The 19152-nt window shown below is 41.7% G+C and overlaps 1 protein-coding gene and 1 long non-coding RNA gene across 61 annotated transcripts in view; one reads left to right on the top strand and one right to left on the bottom strand.

Moving 5' to 3' along the window:
• CELF2 (CUGBP Elav-like family member 2) overlaps positions 1-19152 on the bottom strand; it is an 874126-nt gene that overhangs the window by 215122 nt on the left and 639852 nt on the right. The window lies entirely within an intron of this gene.
• Positions 16066-19152, top strand: part of CELF2-AS2 (CELF2 antisense RNA 2) — a 33948-nt gene continuing 30861 nt past the window's right edge. The window contains exon 1 of the long non-coding RNA NR_046108.1: positions 16066-16085. This is a non-coding gene — a long non-coding RNA (CELF2 antisense RNA 2). The remainder of the gene's footprint in view (positions 16086-19152) is intronic.

Below are 19152 nucleotides of genomic sequence, written 5' to 3'. Positions count from 1 at the left end.
TCACTGTATCCCCAGCACAACATGGTACCAACCACATAGTAGGGCCTCAAATAATTGTTAAGGGAAGATGAGAAGAAACCAAAGAAGAAAGAAGGGAGGGACAGCAAGGACAGAGGGAGAGAGGAATGAAGGCAAAAACAAAGGGTACTGCAAAACAGAAAATGCTGCTTAATGGTTTGGCATCAGAAGAATTTGCCTAATTTCTTTCAAGCAAACAGTCCAGACCTACAAAGACTCCAGCATCTTATGTGTGCTATTTATTCACAAGCCCACAGAGACTGGCTAGCCTCTGAAAACACTAAGATAGGTCTTAAAATTTTGTATCAACCATGTAATTGGACCCATCAAGGAAGAAATTGGTTTTCTATGCCTGGAAATTGGTGGGAATTTTATTATTTCTGAATTTGCAAAATAGTATGTAGTTGAAAAGTCCAATTGTGTAGACTTATAAACTTCTCGGGCAAGATATGGGTCTAAGGTGGTGATTTCTGTCCACGACAGGAACATGCCTTGGGGTCTAAATAATGGAAACTGTAGACACTGAGCTCATTTACAGGCTACACACCTCCTTGCAAGCTCTTGGCACGTCTGCAAATGGACGCGCTTAAAAGCTGTTGATTTGAGCTGCTGCACCTGCAGTAATTCTGCACTTCAAGGACTCCAAGCTTCAGGCAGGAGCACTCACAAAGTATTTGTAAGAGCCTCAGCGCTAACTGTAGTGCTGCCGTAAGTCTCACTATGGTCCTTTTCTGCTTTCAGGTAGTAATCTATGAAATCAAGGGCCCAAACCAGCCACAGCATGGATGGGTTGCAAGGGCTGGTGAGGGGTGGGGAAGCTGGAGGAGAAATTAAGCACTCCCTAGATGCAGCAAAGGTAACAGCAAAGGCTCTTTCAGGGTTTCACAGTTGAATGCAGTTGTCCTAGATTCTCCTTGGGATTTCTGAAGGGCAAGAGTGCTCTCCCTGAGTGGCAGCTGGTACTTCTGGTGGGGAGGGGAAAGGGTCTTTGGAGATGCAGAAATTTCAACTGCATAGATGGTGTGGGTTGTTGGCATGTCTCTAAATAACAAGAAGCAAGCTTGAAATCTTATGCTCTCTTGGTTCATTTTCTGTTATTCAACAATCATAGAAACAGGTGAAATGCAAACCTGTTAGAACATTAAAAACTAAGGAGCAAAACCCAGCAAAGCTTTTCTGTTTGCTTCTAGGGGGAAGGAGCACAGGGAATGGCACAGTTTTGCTACTTGCTACTAACTATTTGGGGAATATTTGCTCCTTGGGACTATTAAGTAGGGTCTCCTTTTCTGCACCGATGTGTAAATTAAGAGCTAAATATGCATACATCTGTGAGCAAATGCCTATCCTTATAGTATATGAACTCTGAAGACAGTATCCCCTGACACCTGGCGAAGGTGCTTGACACACACGACATGCTCAAAGGATGCTTGCTGACTCAAATGAACCTCTCCTTTCACCTGGAGAATTAGCAGTGATAGGACCAAATTCTGCTTATGTCAGGAAAATTAACAGCTGGGAAATGGAAGCATAAACAAATAACTAAATGGGTTGTGGCGGAAGTTGCACAATTATATGTGATTATCAAAATTCAAAGTGTACCTATGAAACGATGAATTCTATTATATGCAAATAATATGTCAATAAACAAAAAAGCGGGGGCCGGGGGGGGGGAGGCGGAATCAAGCAGCCAGGCAAATAAACAGTGCCCTTAGGATTTGAATCCAGATATATGCATCCTCTTGATCACTGTGGTATTCCACTCCCTTGATCATTATAGGGGGAGGAGGATAAAGGCTTTTTCATGTGTACATTTACGACTTGTATTTCTTTCTCTGTGAAAAGTCTATTTGTATGTTTGTATCCCTCACTCATTTTTTTCCTAGGGTTTTTGATTTTTAAAATAATTTATGAAAGTTTAAATATTAAAAATAGTTAATTTGTTGGTAAAAAGGAACTAAAGATTTATAGTACAAACATGACATTTCTGAATGACACATTTATTCTGGAATTGATTAAATAAGTTATTAATGGGTAAGCCTATGCTAGAGAAAACCATAAATCTGATTGCTATAAGACATTATTTTTCTGTTTAAAATCTTGTTTAAAGTGCTATGAAAGAAATGAGGTCTGCTATCCTGAATCCCAGGGCACTCCCCAGCTTCTTCGGAGGTATTGGATAGTGAACATCTACTGTCCTTAGGACACAGGATTGTTACCAAAGTAACATCTGACTTTCAGGACGCCTATCTACTGAATTTCAACAACTGAATTTATTGCTCTATTTTATCAAGCTCTCTTAAATATGCTCAAGTTTATGCAAGAAGTCTAAAGTTTAAGGGGAAAAAAAATGTGCCTTCAGACCCTCCTGCCTTCGTTACTACAGGGACACAGAAGGTGACATGGTGGCACTGCTTTTCTGGTGCATCTTCTTGGTGAAGACTCATCAGTCCTGATCTAGTTTCAGCCTTGTTCATGTAGCTGGTCAACTGGATGGCGGCTTGAGAAAGTGCCATAAGCAGGCCATTCTGTCTGAGCATCTCTGGCTCACCTTTCCTGATGAAGTCACCATCGGAGACTGGCAGGGGAGCAGGGCTCCTCCATCCTCATTTCACAGAGAGTGACACAGGAGTTAAGTGACTTGCGAAAGGTCATACAAGCAGTCATCGGTCAGGACCAAAATAGAACTGGGGGTTGCTGACCTCCTTGTCTCCTGCTCAAATGATTCAAGGACAAGAGAAGTGACTCCTGAGCTGTAAAATAACACTACAGGCTTTTGATTTTCTCATCCTTGTACAGGATGAGCTAAGACATTTATTTGCTTTAACATTTCTCTTCAACATACAAATAAGAAGCTGTTGAACTGGTGAGGAAAATCCAAGGCCAAGAACCCCAAAGTCAGTAACTTCAGCTTTTCTACTGACTAGCTATGACCTTACGCAAAAATCTGAAGTCACCATGCCTCAGTTCTTCTCTCTACAAAATGGAGACATTAGGAACTACTTACTGAATATACTAATCTTTTAACAGAAGTGACGTATCTTTGAGCATTGTTACTCAAAGCTTTGGGGGCAAGGCACATGGGGGCTCACACTTGTAATCCCAGCACTTTGGGAGGCTGAGGCCTGAGGATCACTTGAGGCCAGGAGTTCAAGACCAGCCTGGGCAACACAAAAAGACTCCCCATAGATGAATGTGGTTTTTCAGCATGCCACTTAAGAGGAAAACAAAGATCAAGTGGAGGTGACCTATTGAAAACAGTACACCAAGCCTTGGGTTCAGACTACCGAGAACCAGGATGAAGAATAAACACCCATTCAAATGGGGTTTGCTTATCATGCAATTGGGCAATGAGCCCTCAGTTGGCGCTACTAAAATATATTACCTTCACTGTGCAAATCAGTCTTGACACATGGCCTTATTTAATTCACAGGCATGCTTATACTTCTGCAAAACTAAAAAAAAAATAGCTTTTAATTACTATTTGTTGAGCATCTAAGACAATTAAATGCTTCTGATTACCCTTTTGTTTTTTAAAAACATAGAAGCAGAGAATGAACATTTCCACACAGCCATTAGAGCAAAATGCCTTTTGAGGCAGAATGCATTCAAAGCATTCTGCCTTATAAAAAATGTATAAAAGGATAGCGCAGAAAAAGGCTGTGAGGAGTGACATGGCCTATCATGTTGTGCATGCATGAGTTAGCTTTTACAAGATCAGAACCAGAAGCTCAGATGAATCCTATTTGACCCAAGCCTGATGCTTTGGAAGTTCCGGGGTCAGTGGAAGAGCCACTCAAGGGTACCCTCTCTGGAGAGTCACACATTTTAAAAATACTTGGGTGATTTTGTCATTCATCACCTGGAATGGAGACCACTGCTCCATTTTAATGTCAGCAAGGATCATATTCATGTCATGATACCATCACACACGTGGTTTTTGTTTTTATCATAAATATTATGGAGTCAGACATAAAAACCCCTAAGAGGCTGTATAACAACACCTCAAGATGGACCTAGGTCTAAAGGAGTGGCCTCTAGAGCTGCTGCAGAGCACAGGAAAGCTGGTAGCACAGGTAGACAGCAAGGCCTCCTTGAGCATCTTCATTCCTGGAGAGCCACTGGCTTTTTCGAATGATACCTAACCAATTTCTACAGGGCAAAACATTTTGACTTTTGTGAAATCAGCAGGATTTATATTGTTACACCCGTTGAATGAAGAAAGCAACTCAGAAAGGTGACTATTCCAAAGCCACACAGCCAGTAAATGTCGGAATTCAAAGCCAGTTCTTCTAAGTCCACACATTTGGCATTCAACTAAATCCTTTAATGAGCCTAAAAGATGTGAGTAGAGCGGGATGATATAAAGGAATAAAATAGGTTATCACTGGTTGTCACTGTGATTTACAAATCATTGCCTTGTATTACTCAGAAGCAGCACAGCATAGTGGCTTGAGTGTGGATTCTGAAGCCAGACCGCTCAGGTTCACGTGAAAGTTCTGCCATTACCAGCTGTGTGATCCTGGGCACATGACTTAACTGTGCCCAAGTTTCCTTATCGCTAAAAAGAGGGTGATCATACCACTTAAATCATATGACTGTCATGTGGATTAAATATAATAGTATCTGTAAGCCGTTCAAAATAGTATCTACCATAGTTTAGGTGTTGTGTAAGTGTTGGTTAACGAATGAATAAATTATTCTACTATGATGTTCAGTGTACTTCTCCGACTGACATAAACAACTTACTGATGAATTTTTAATAGACGCTACCTAATACCTTTGTTCAAAGTTTCTTTTGACAAATTCTGATAATTTTCTTGGCCATGTCATCAAAAGGAGCACAGGGTCTCTTTCTTCACTGAATTTAACAAGTGAAGGGACCACCACTGGACATCCAACCAACTTCGCTGAACTCACCAGGCACTCTTCTCTCCACAGCTCGAAAACCACCAACTGATTTTGCCAAGTTATCAGCACACCCAGCTGTGGCACTAGCGCTCAAGACCTGAGACCTGAAGCCTTGCTGATCAGTTTCTGGTTAGACTCCAGGCCTCACATGTATGTTAGTGAACACATGCTCACTTCTCATACGTGTAAATTAGTGAACACACAGACTTCTCCTACATGTAAGTGTGTGAACATGCACAGGCTTCTTGACCATGTTAAGTTTGTAAACATGCACAGATTTCTTGTCAAACTAAGTCAACAGACTCAGGCATCTCTGGTGATTAGGTTTTAAAAATTAAGTCTAATAACAGACTGCTGAAAAGGCTCCACTGCAGTTAAGTCTTGGCCATTCACTGACAGTTACAACTGTAGATGGCTTAGTCTTTTACTCTTCTGAAGGATGGTTTGTACATTTCTACGATCTAGCATTCTTGCAGAGAAGCAATTCAAAACATTAATTTAGAGTATTAAATTAAAAGGATTTTATCGAGAAATTACGAATACTGTCCCACAGGATTAAGGCCATTTTTAAAACTGTTTGCTATTTTCCTGCATTTATCATTTGGAAACCAAGATACAGCACCATGCTGGCTGCTACAGGGAAAAAGGTCCTTCATGTGTCTTCTTCACATACCAATTGTCAAAGCATAAATGTCAGATATATTACAAAGGAAGGTGGTACAAGATGTGAAAAATCAGCCTATTTTTCACTCTATGATAGGGCAAAGAGACATGCATAAAATCGATTCCTGTGAAAATTATATTTTTAATACCACTGACAACCAGCAGCACCAAACTGGATTAGCAGTGGTGATGAGTAACTTGAATCTCCCTATGTTTTCATCATGCATTTCAGTATTTTGCTTCTTAGGTCTATTGTTTTTCCTCTGTAGTTCTGTCAAGTGTCAGCTGTGACTTTTTGAGTAGCTTTGAGTAATGGGATCAGCCAATGTTCTGTACTTGAAGAAATTCCATATCATTCGCTTCTCTAAAAATACTGCTGCCTGCCACTGGCGCCAATCAACAGTGATGAATAGCTAAAGGGACAAGTAGGTCTCTAAATTTACTTCATATCTGACAGCCCTTCAGCAGATATGGATAATGGATCCCTATGACTCACAAATACAACTCCCTCCTACTACAAGCAAGCCCTTTCTTTTCCCTACAAGAAAGGGCAAGAATTCCTAATGACCCCTGTTCTTCCTTTCCCCTTTTCAACAATCCAAGAAAAGTATGTTAAACGCCTGTAGCATCAGGTTCTTTGCAGCTGCTGGGCCAGATATAAAATGCTAGTGAAAACACACATCCCTTTTTATCTCTTAAGCTATTACTGTGAGTCTTATGACTACATTTGAATCAGTGTTACCAATCAAACGAAGTTGAAAAAATCAATTTGTGTAGATGTGTACATCTCACTACTGTACCTTGCTGACCTCCAGATATTCACGTGCCTACTGCATATTAATCTGCATCCTGGACCATTTGCAACAAGTAGATCCCCACACATTTATGTGGGGCCAATTTTATTCTTCCGGTATTTATTCTTCAAATTCAATTTGAATTCATCCTTGCAAAAATGTTTATTGAGGCCCTACTGTGTGCCAGAAGGTACATATACTACATGTTGGGAAGCCAGTGGGGATACTAAAGGGACAGAATTACATACAGAAAATCAGCTATCTACTGAATTGATGACCTTTAAAAAAGAAAACACAATTGTGATGTTTTAGTTGTATGTTTTGGTTGATCAGAACTCAAAATCGTATAATAAATGATCGCATCTTCTGTAGTGGGTGTAGAAAAAGAGGTATTGATCTTTTCAGAGTATAAACATCTTTGTGAAGTTTAATATGTTAGGATACATTTCAATTTCTCAAGTCAAAAGAACTAAAGTGCTGTGGCCAACCCATTGCCACTCAACAATCACTTATTAGAACCCTTTCATTCTCAAATTCACCATCATCATCCACTCACTCAACCTCATACAAAGAACAGATATTTGACTGCATTGATATTCCAACCATGGGTCTTAATTTCAAGTCCTTTTTTGATTTATGACTCGACGAGAGTGTAAGTAAGAACATTAGCAACTTTTAAAGAGTCATTAAGTGGCTTGTGACAAATCCTTATTTGGTGTTATAAAAAGATATGACACAGCATCTAGAACTGTCACATTTTCTTTGATATGTTATGTATTTACTGCTACAGCAGTTTCATTCATTAATACTCCTTCACATTTGTTGTGTACTGGCATTTTACATAAATACTATTGACCTATTATGCTTGTGGATATTAAGAAATTATTATTTCTATGTTCAAAACATTTCTTAAAGTCTTTTTGATCATTACTCATTTCATTGTTTTTACTCTCAGCATGTTCTGAGCACCTGGCCCTTTGCTAGGTATTAAAATGAGAGAGACCAACAAGAACTAGGAAACCCTCAAATGAGCTATTATATCAAACTTTAAAAAAGTAAGCAGAGGGAGAAATAGGGAGGAACATAATAATCAAAGCACAGAAGCATTTCCCAGAATTGGATTTGTTATGAGCCGTTTTTGCCCAATTACTACTTTAATTGAACCATCTATAATTCCTTCTGCTGATATTTTTAGTCTACAGGAAGCTAGACACAAATCATATATGAAGCCAGGAGCCAGCACATTTTCTGACAGCAGAGGCTCCCTGAAGTCTATCAAAATGAACAGAAGAAAGAAAAAATCAAGATGTGATGGTCCTCGAAAATGACACCTGTCAAATCAAGAACCTTGCTTTTGTTTCTTGTGTTCCTAGGCTGGCTGCACAGAGGAGACTAGGCAGGACCCCAGCTCATGCAAATCCATACAGGCAGACCCGCTGGGAACCCAGGTCGAGGTGGACTGTCGTATTTAATAAGGGATTCTCAAGAACCTAGCCCCACCAGAACACCAGAGGCCTTCTCCAATTTAAGGAATACTTGCTTCTGATACAGAGCATTTATAAAATTCTATTTTAGTATCCCACGTATATTTAAAGGGGCAAACATAGAAGACCTTCTCTCCAGCCAGACCTATTTCCACCACTGTATCTCCAGCATAGCTTTAATTAGTGAGAAAAGTCCATCATATTTTATCGTCCCTTTTCCTCCACCCTCTGATATGTTTCTATATTCCCTTAACAACCAATTAGTGATAGCATAGAGGAGAACGCCTCCTATAACATTCGGTGCCCCCAATTCCCCATGCACCATCTAGTGGTGGTAATAATTACATTAATAGCAATGATGATGCTGATGATGCTATCCTCGGTGAATTTAAAACACCTAAAAATGCCAATTTAACAGTGAATAAAACACAATCTTGATTTTCCTTTTGGAAACATGACAAAGTGCTTATATATTACCTTGGCAAGAATCACTATCCAGGTTAGAATGCAAGTGAAAGCCATCTATATTTTAAAGTAAGAAGATATTGATTCACTCAGTAACTAAAAATTGTGTTTCCCTGTTCATTGGCTTTCCCAATACTGGTAGTAAGACCCAGTGTTGCTGAAGTCAGGACACAAGCTTCGGATATGGGCTACACGTGTGGAAATGCATTGCGTTTACTCACGACTCAGTCAGGACACAAGCTTCAGATATAGGCTACGCATGTGGAAATGCACTGTGTTTACTCATGACTCAGTCAGGACACAAGCTTCAGACATGGGCTACGCATGTGGAAATGCAATGCGTTTACTCATGACTCAGTCAGGACACAAGCTTCGGATATGGGCTACGCATGTGGAAATGCACTGCGTTTACTCATGGTTCCGTTTCAAAGATAGCTCCCTTCACAAATTAGTTTGCACTTGCCATACCTTTGTCTATAAATCATTTGTGTTGCCCCAACTTCTGGTCTCACAGATGCTTGCATTAAAATTGATCATTACTATTGCTTTTCCCATAAATATCGTTGTTTACATTTTATTGCCACTTGAATTTCTTCTCCTAAACATCAAGACATCTTTCGCTATCCACCACATCTACTTCTTCCTTTGCTATCAGAAAACAACTGGTAACCAGTTGGAAAGCTGAAGCACCACTCCGAGCCTGGCCAACGGTTCTAGTCCCTCTCATGTGAATGTGCATGTGTAATGAGAGGTGACACACACGTGTGTACTGTGTATGTGTGTACATATACGTCACTAGGAATGTCAACATGTCCTCGTCTTTCTCTAACTCCTGCAGTTTCTGACTCCCTTTCCCGTACTGCATAACACATCATCTCAAATTCTTCATGTGTCCCTAGCGAATGCGATCTTGATGGTGCTTTCTACCTCCTGAGATACATCTCAAAGAAAGGAAAAAGCTCATTATTCCCAAGGTGGAGATGAAGAATAATATGCAAGAGCCTATAAAGCAGGACTTTGCTGAAAGACATTCGCACCCAGTAAAATGTGGCACATGCAAGAGCATCAGCTCAGGGTCTGCCTAGACACAGGCCATTGAGAAAGTTCTGCTGTACTATTCCATGTATATGTAAAGGTACAAATATCTAAGAGGTCTCCTTGAAAGCCAAAACTGGAGACCAGAAATAAGCCAGTAAGTAGATTTTAAAAGCTACTCTGAGTTATCCATCACATATGTAGCCTGTTTTCCTTACAAAAACCAGGCCGAGCATACAGGTTGCACTGACTGTCAAAAGAATAGGTCTCTCCTCCTCCAAACATTTGATTATTATAAGTCAACCAAATTCAAAAGATAAAACTTCCATTGCTTATATGAGAAATCTCTTTCTAAGACGTATTACTGTCTGAGGTATTGATTTGTTCTTAAATTGCCTGTGGAAACACGCTGAGTTTCGGCGTATCCAACGTGAACTTGGGGCACTCTGCCTGTAGGAAAGACATAGCACAGGAAGATGCATCCACATGATTTCAATCGTATTTCATCTCTAACCTGTACGACATAGGGCACGTTGCCTATGTGAAAAGAGAGACTGCCTTCATATCAGACAGACAAGCATTTAGAATCCTCTCCAATCCATAAGCAACAACAGTTACCCATTAGGGAAAAAAAAAGAAACATAAATCCTCTTTGTGACTGACAATAGCCTTCCTCTAGAACTGGTGGGCTATGTTGGGAGGAAGAAAAATTTCTCAGTCTATGAGACACATTTTATTGAATGCAGATCAAAGAAAAACTAAGCTTTTTCTTATGAATCATTTTTAACTACAACTGACAAACACTTATCAGTAACAAAGGCCTCGCAACAGAATCCACTCTATGAAGCTACTTTACTTTTAAATATCACTAGATGACCTAACCTAGTGAACAGGGAAGTTGTTCAACAGTTTTGTTTGGTCGATTTGCCTATTTTAATCACAGAAGTTTTTAAAAGTAAGTAAAACCAGGCAGTGGGAAGAAGATGTAGATTAACACATTAGAAGGCCCAGAAAGTCTGAGCCCCTGAGTAAAAAAGCACTCCATTAATAAATGCCACATATTATTATCTCATCCAAGTATTTCAAATCACTTCCAAATGACAGCTCCCACTTCAGAGGCAGGTAGCAGGATGGAAAAGGGTGGAGAGTACATCCTAACCGAATGGTACTCAGAGTGGGAGAGGCTGAGCTGATTATCTTCCAACCTTATAACCCTTCTCCCAAAAGGGCCTTGCTGGACGTTCTGTAATTCCAGTTTTGAAAGAATTCAATAAAATGCTCATTGCAGTGCTGCGTTTCCAAGGGCTTTGCTCCTTGTTAGTGGGGGTCTAGGCTTCCAAGCTCTCGGGCATGAAATGAGGTGGTGGTTAAGGTCAGGGTTGCAGTTCCTTGACAAGCAGAAACTGCCCCCGGATGAGGCCTCCCGTGGGCACACTGTACTCTGGAATTCCAGAAGAAAGGGGCCTTTGTTGATGCACTGCTGAGAATGCCAACGACCCATGAGAACACTCTCAACGTCACACTGGCTGTCTCACTGCCATCTCCCCACTCACCAAACAGCAAACAAAATGCCACCCAGGCCTCCTCCTCTCTTCTCCTCTCTGATGCTCTGCTTAGGGACATGACCTCCATTAAAGCCCCTCTGTTTCTACTCCATGCATTAGTGTATTTCATCAATCTAGCAGTGTTTAGACGAAGCAGAAAAATAAGCAGAAGCTTTGTCCCGACTTAGGTAGTAGGAGATGGGAAAAGAAGTACTAAGCGTTAGATGGCTTCCTAAAACTTCATCGTTTCACATTTTTTCTGTTCCACTCAATGACGGGGATGAATACTCACACAGAAAATCACACTCTAGTAATACATCTAAAGATGTAATGTAGCTAGAAAAGAACAAAAAGCAGATTTTTTTTTTTAAGACATGGTCTTGCTCTGTCGCCCATGCTGGAGTGCGGTAGGACGTTCAGGGTTCCATGCAGCCTTGACCTCTCAGGCTCAAGTGATCCTCCTGCCTCAGCAGCTGCTCTCCCCTCCCCAAGTAGCTGGGACTACAGGAGCATGCCACCATGCCCAACTAATTTTTAAAAATTTTTAGTAGCAATGAGGTCTTGCTATGTTGCCCAAGCTGGTCTCAAACTCCCGAGCTCAAGCCATCCTCCTGCCTCAGCCTCTCAAAGTGCTGGGATTACAAGCATGAGCCACCGCTTCCAGCCCAGGTTCATTTTTTGAGACACAGATTAAAATACGAAACATCATGAGTCCACTCCTGTCAGACTGCTCTCTCACCTGCCTCGACTCCCACCCACTGACTAAACTGCTGCCAATAAATTTCCTTTTGCTACAAAGTCAGGGGGCGGGGAGAGAGGAAGGGAAAACATAAACCATGTGCATGCAGGAGTTAAATAACCGGCCTGCAGAGCACAAGCGTTGCTTCCTCAACAAGGTTAAAGAGAAGTAAGGAGAAACTCACAAAACTTTCATAGGCAGGAATAGATTGTGAGGGGTAGAGAGACTGAAAAAATCACCTGCTCTAACCTGTGAAAGGAAAGAAGCAGCCCAGGGTAATGAATTCAGAGAGTGCCTAGCTGTGTCAGAGGAAACCTGGGCCACAGTCCTATGTCTGTCTTTGGTATGTGACTACCGGCACTGTGATCTCTCTTTAACTTTCAGATTCTTCGTGTGAAAATGACAACATGGGGCAGGCATGATTTAAAGGCTCTTTCTTGCAGCTTTCGAATTCTAGATAGAAACTCAAGTCCATTCACCATGTACTTGAGGCTCCAGTGAGTCCTTGCATCACTGCTTTCTTGGAGGCCTTTACCCATGATGCCCAAGTCTGTTTGCTATTCCAGAAACAAAATTAGGGTCCTAAAACAGATTCATGGATATGTGGCAACTTGTTACATATAAAGGTAGCAACACACATTACAGGAAAACAGATGGAATACTTAGGATATGGTACCATAAAAACCAGCTTACTATTGAGAGAAAATGCTGGATCCGTAACTTACTGCCACAGGAGCAACAGAAACACAAAAATCCCTCCCTTCTGAGGGCCGTAAACATCTACATATGAGATATACCTAATGCAGCTAACAGAATTAACTGCTGGAGAAAATATCCTTGATAGCTTGGGATGAGGAAGAATTTCTTAAATATGATTTAAGTCATCCAGGAGTACACACTGACAGATCTGCCTACAAAGGACACAGTAGACAAAACTGGAAGATGTGTGCCACACCTAACAGTGAACAGAGGATTAATATCCAGACTATAGAAGAGATTAACAAAAAAGACAAGAAACCCAATGGAAAAATGTGCATACGATGTGAACAGGTAATTGAGAGAAGGGAAATGGATCCAAATGGCTAAGAAGTTTATAAAGAAAAGCTCAATCTCACCAGTAATCAGAGAAACGTAAATGAAAATGACAATGATACAGCTATCAGATTAGAATGAGAAAGTCAACACCAAGTGGAGACGTGGGGAAACAGGAAACTTCATTCACAGATCCTGGGAGTATGAATGGGTCCAGTCATCCCAGAAAGGATCTCCCACACTTGATGAAGTTAAGTGTGCTTGCGCCCTGCAGCCTCAGAACAGAACCAGATGAACCCTCCCGCCAAGCCCTAAGGGGATATGTGCATTCACTGCAGCACTATGGGAAGTATCTGGGACTGGGAGGCCGCTGAGAGTGCTATTACCAGGGGAAGGAACAGATAACATGTGGGTGATCTATGTTATAGGACCCACGCAGCAGTCAGAAGCAAGGAGTAAGATGCACACCTAGCAAAACAGGCAGTTCTGAAGACAGTACAGGCTGAAAAAACAAACAAAAAAACAGTGAACCAGAATCCACAATCCCATTCATGTAGATTATAAAACTAATTCATGCAAGTATCTAATTTTCCAGGATACACACACACCTAAACAAAGGGTTGACACATCCTAATGGTAACCTGTGAAGGGAATGAGCAGGGAGTAGGGGCTGTGGGGAAAACAAAATGAGAGCATCCCTGCATGGCCTGAGGGGGAGAATTCTGCCAATCAGCACTGCACATCTACAGAAGGCAAGGAGTGGGGAGAGGGAGGGAGTGGGGAGAGGAAGGGAGTGGGGAGAGGGAGGGAGTGGGGAGAGGTAGACAGTGAGGAGAGGGAGGGAGTAAGGAGTGGGGAGAGGGAGGGAGTGGGGAGTGGGGAGTGTGGGGAGGGGATGAAAGAAGGGTAAGAGAGAGCAAGGAGACGGGATGGGGGACAGGAAGGAAAGAGAATGGGAGAAGGGAGGAGATGGGAGAAGGGAGGAGATGGGAGAAGGGAGGAGATGGTAGAAGGGATGGGGAGAAATAGGGGGCAGAGGAGGGAGGAGGGGGAAGAAGAGGGAGGAGGGAGAAGAGGAAAGGGGAAAGGAAGAATGAGAGGAAGCAAAAGGGGGAATGAGAGAAAGGATCCAGGAATGAGAGAAGGAACAAGGGGAGACCTGGCTTGACTGCTTCTTTTCAGAAGTGACACATGGACCGGATTAAGGGTTCAGAAGCCAAACATTAGAGTAAAAGACTTTAAAATGGAAGTGAGGTATCTTAACTTCTAGAAATATGTTTGGTTAAAATATAGCATAGTATTCAATCCCCAAGTATTTGTCAAATACTTGGGACTGCAGTAAGTGTGAATTCAAACTACAACTAATCCTCCTGTGGACAATGTTGCCATTCCTCCAGTCTTCTGTAGGGTAGCATCTAAGCGGCCAAACTCTACAGACCGCACTCCAAAACATGGAGGTGGCTATTGGTGGATGAGAGGATTCCTTCCCAGAAGCTCACAAGTGTGTGGTGTCCACATCAACACACACATCTGGAATCCAGTTCTCTGAAGAATTTGGGGCCCACAGGCCAGTTTAGCCTGGAGCTGCCCCCCTAGGAGAGGCAGGTGCTGCTGGTTTGCCACAGCCCCCCAGCCCCCTTCCCAAAACCAGCACTGCTCACCAGGCCTCAGGGACACCTGAGTTGGCCGCCTTGCTTCTGCCGCCAATCACTTATTGCTGGGTGGGGACAGCTAGGTAGGCAGCCTCCTGAGCCGCTGAGGAAACCGGTATCCACGCAGCTCCCTTAGTACAAAACATGTTAAGTCTTACTTCTTTGTTTTTGCTTTAAGCCCAGTTCAAGTGGGATGTCTGGAAGGGCTGGGCTCCCTCTGCAATCTGCTGGGCACCAGCAGGGGATAACAAGGCAGGGAAGGGAAGCACTGGAGCTCTCCCCTGCAGGCACAGGAGGTGCCCCAGCAGCCTTTCTGCAGAGAGGTTTAGATAGTAAGTCTGAGCTGAGAAGTAGCCTGCACACTGAAGCGTCATTGTCCCCAAGGACTACACCACTCAGAATCCCATGCTGGGTGTGTAAACAGAACCACAACTGCAATGCCCTTTCCCTCCTCAGGTGTTAGCTCCTTCCGTAAAGACCACAAGTACAAATGATGACTGTTTACTTCATAGAGTATTCATTGTTCTCTTTATGTTAATTTTTCATCCTTGCTTAAAATATCTACTTCAAATGCTCAGGGAATTCCACCCTGGAGGGTGCTGGGTCCTTGTCCCCATTTCGTAGTTCTACAGAAATGAACATATTGTTCCTGTTTCAAGACTAATATTAAAAGTGTCAAGATGGGCTGGGCGCAGTGGCTCACGCCTATAATCCCAGCCCTTTGGGAGGCTGAGGAGGGCAGATCACTTGAGGTCAGGAGTTCAAGACCAGCCTGGCCAACATGGCAAAACCTTGTCTCTACTAAAAATAGAACAATTAGCCGGGCACGGTGGTGCATGCCTGTAATCCCAGCTACTTGGGAGGCTGAGGCAGGAGAATGGCTTGAACCTGGGAGGCGGAGGCTGCAGTGAACAGAGATCATGCCACTGCACTGTTCAGCCTACGTGACAGAGCAAGACTCCATCTCAAAAATAAATAAATAAATAAATAAATAAATAAATAAATAAATAAAATAAAGTAAAATAAAATAAAAGTGCCAAGATGACCAAGTTCTGGGTTTGGATGTTTTCTGCCTTAAGCTTGTCTGTAAAGTGGGTAATACCTTCCAAAAATGATCAAGACATATCTGATAATGAGGCCATGTGAAAATCATAAAAACTTTTCATCATTTCTCTGCAATATGAAGCCCTGGTACCCAGTAACCACATTCTATCAAAAGAGCCAAGTGAATACCTGCATAGCTTTGATTTTTTGTTCTCATTACAAAGAATCTCTAAGTGAACCAGACACTATATAATGCCAGATAGTAAGTGCTATGAAGAAATCTAAAGAAGGGTATGAGGTGGAGTGTGACTGGGGTATCGTATTCCAGGGAGTAGTGGAGACTGGAGCAGAATCTCTATCAGGTGGGGGAGCCTGCAAGCTCTGTGGACATGCAGCGGGAAAGAGCACAGGATCCCAGAGCAGAGATGTGTGAAGGTGTCTGAGGAGCAGCCAGGGTGCTAGAGCACACAGCTGCAGAATGACCTGGCTAAGAGAACACAAGATGAGGAGAACATTTACATTGAGCTGGGGGAATCAGAGAAGGAATTAGGTTAGGTATACGCAACCCAAAATGAAAACCCAGTGGCCACCTCTGGTGGGCAATTGAAAAAATGCAAATGATGTCACAAAAGGCAGGGGCTGAAGACACATCTAGGAGTCACTGTTGTCTTGGAGATAATCAAGTCATGGCCAACTCTTCTGGAAGGGTAAGAGCAAGAGCAGTGGGTATGTCTTATTCTGCTTCAGGATCTGTTCTATGATTTTACAAACAAAACCTCCCTTGGTCTCCGTAACACCACTTTGGGATAGGTAACTTAATTATTCCATTCTACGGATGAGGAAACTAAACAAACTGATGAATTTAAAGCACAGGAAGCAAACTGATGAATTCAAAGCCACACAACCAGGAAGTGAGGTAGATTCAAACCCAGCCAGGCTGGCTCCAGAATCATTACTTTCAATTAGGACTGCAGGTGGTAAAAAAGCACGACTATATTTGTTTTTCGTTTAGTGAAAAATCATGAGGTACTGTCTAATCTGGACTTAGAGTTTTATTTCCCATCGGATAACCCAACCGGTATGTTTTGAATCACTGTTTCAGTTTTGCTCATCAGGAAATCACAGGGTTGGAAAAAAAGATGCTTGGCCAAACTACATCGCAGCTGAACCAGGGTCTTCATTCTGTGACAGTGGACCAGCTTCAGAGAAGGTGATTACACAACTGTAATTGGCAGCTGCCCCTGCAGCTCAGTTTTCACACTCAAGAGGTCACCTCTGCCTGCCACATGCTATATGGAGCCAAACTACATACTACCTACAAGCGTTGATACTGAGGCTCTGAACATGTCATTGTTTTCCCAGATGATTCCTATTCTTATCAACTCCAAAGAGCATTATTAGAAAATGAATTGTATCTTGTTTTCAATAATGTTTTACCTTAGTGCATTTAGTGAACATTTTTCTTAGTTCAAGAGTATGTTATTTTGTTTTTTGGAGACAAGGTCTCATTCTGTCACCTAGACTGGAGTGCAGTGGCACAATCACGTCTTAGGGCAGTATCGGCCTCCTGGGCGCAATCCATCCTCCCACCTCAGCCTCCCTGGTAGCTGGGTCTATAGGCACACACCACACACCTGGCTAATTTTTGTATTTTTTGTAGGGACAAGGTATTGCCCAGGCTGGTCTTGAGCTCCTGGCCTCATGTGATTCTCCTGCCTTGGCCTTCCAAAGTGTTAGGATCACAGGTGTAAGCCACTGTGGTTTGCTCAAGGGTATTTCTTAGGGTCCAGGAACCCTGGGAAATACTTAGGTTCATAAGGTCAATTTCATCAGAGTATTTTGTATGTCATTTGCTGGAAGTCGAAACTATTATTTTTAAAATCTCATAAAGTTTGATCACCTGATAGAGGATTATAATAGATTCTAGGACATAAAAAATGCAAGTAAATAAATCAGAATGCAAATAAATACATCAGGCTAACATTCTTTAAAAATTACCTTCCTCCAAATATATAGACTTGTACAATTTGACATGATTTATGGTATATTAAACATGGTTTAATAGGAACAGCAGTCAATATCAGTGATCATCAGATTAATGCTGGAGACCAAATACTAAGAGCAAAAGGGTAGTGTCAGTCTATTTCTTTAAATAAATAGTTTTCATGCTTTGCTGAATAAAAACAGAACTGACCATAAATATTATTACCTGCATTTCTCCCATTTCAGGAAAGGGTAAATTTAGGAGTCAGTAAATTCTACCCTTCCAGATTTTAAAATATGCAATAATTTTAGCCTTCCCATCCCAGTAACAGTATCATGTCTCAGAAGAGTTTCTACTTTAATCTTTTGGGCTACCTAACTACATCTATATACGAATTCACCCACTTGTTAGGTATTTATTCAGTATTTACTGGACTTCTACTACGAACCAGTAATCAGAACTCAATCTTGAGGGAAGGACAAATATAACCAATACCACCCCTGCAACAACAAATCAAACATGAGCCAGGTACAATGTTTAATTTCATGTGTCGAGAGTTGCGTGTGGTTTATCTCAGATAATCATGACGACCTTCTGAGAAAGGTACTGTTCTAATTCCCCCCTTTGCATATGAGAACATTGAGGTTCAGAGAAGTCAAATAACCTGGTTTCAGAGTTCACAGTAAAAAAAAAAAAAAAAAAAATCAGGCTACAAACACAGGTTTATCCGATTCAGAAGCCTAGGCTTTTTAAAAAGAGCACTAGGCCATGCAGCCTCTTGTAAAATGTTAATAAAAATGTAAGTGAAAATAAAAGCTTCTATAATGTTATGGGAATAAAAAAAGCAAAAAAAAAAAAAATCCATAATGTACAAGAAAGCATCGGAGCAAAAATTACATCTGAGTTGAATCTTGAATGACGAACAGAAGCTCTTTCAAGTTTAATCTTGAAAGATGTAAGCATGGTGTGGGGTTGGCTCTGGCAAAGCGTGGATTTTTTTCGAATTCTGATAAATGGGTGACTAGCTGGGGTGAAGAATGTACAGAAGTCACTCAACAAGAGGTTGGAAAAGGGAGATTGCAGCCGCATTGTGAGGCACCCTTAGGACTTGCTGAGAAGTTGATGCATTAACCATTAGGCAAAGGAGAGGCACTGGAGAATTCTGAATAGGGAGTAACAAGATGAGACTCAGGTTTTAGAAACATCAGTAACTTTTGTGTAGAGGTAGAAGGTGGCTGAAGAGGTTGTTCCAACTGTGCAAGGGAGAAGTGGTCTGTCCATAAACGATGAAAAGAAAGGAAAATTTTTAAATTGAGAAAGAAAAAACTGACAGGGCTGAGGGTTTCATGAGCTGTGGGGAATGAGAGAGAAAAAGGAGTGAGGCATGATTCCAAGGCATGCTTGGTTGAGTTTTATAAGACTTCCATGGAGAAAGAAAGGGGGAAATGAGCTCCATTTTACATTGAATTTGGTTGCCTAGGAAGAGATTTCCAATCCAAAATTACTGGCATTCAAGAAAAAAGCAGGGCTTGAGATAAGGATGTAAAAGTCAAGAGTTCCAAGGACGCTGTCTGAAGCCACCAGCATGGCTGAACTTGGTAGTGGGAGGAGAACAGGGCCCCGAGTTTCAAGGACAAATCACACACATCTCCATGAAAGCTACAGACAATGGTCTGCTTGCGATGCCTGAAAAGAAGTCCAATTTTAGAGCCATGTAACTTGCTAAAAGATTCAATAGCATATGCATTTGTTCTATCTTCAGCTATAGCAGAAACTGTTTATATAGGAAA

This window comes from Homo sapiens, chromosome 10, assembly GCF_000001405.40.
Source record: "Homo sapiens chromosome 10, GRCh38.p14 Primary Assembly".
In the NCBI taxonomy this organism is placed as follows: domain Eukaryota; kingdom Metazoa; phylum Chordata; class Mammalia; order Primates; family Hominidae; genus Homo; species Homo sapiens.
Note: the sequence above shows the minus strand (reverse complement) of the source record. Positions and strands in the feature narration are given on the sequence as shown.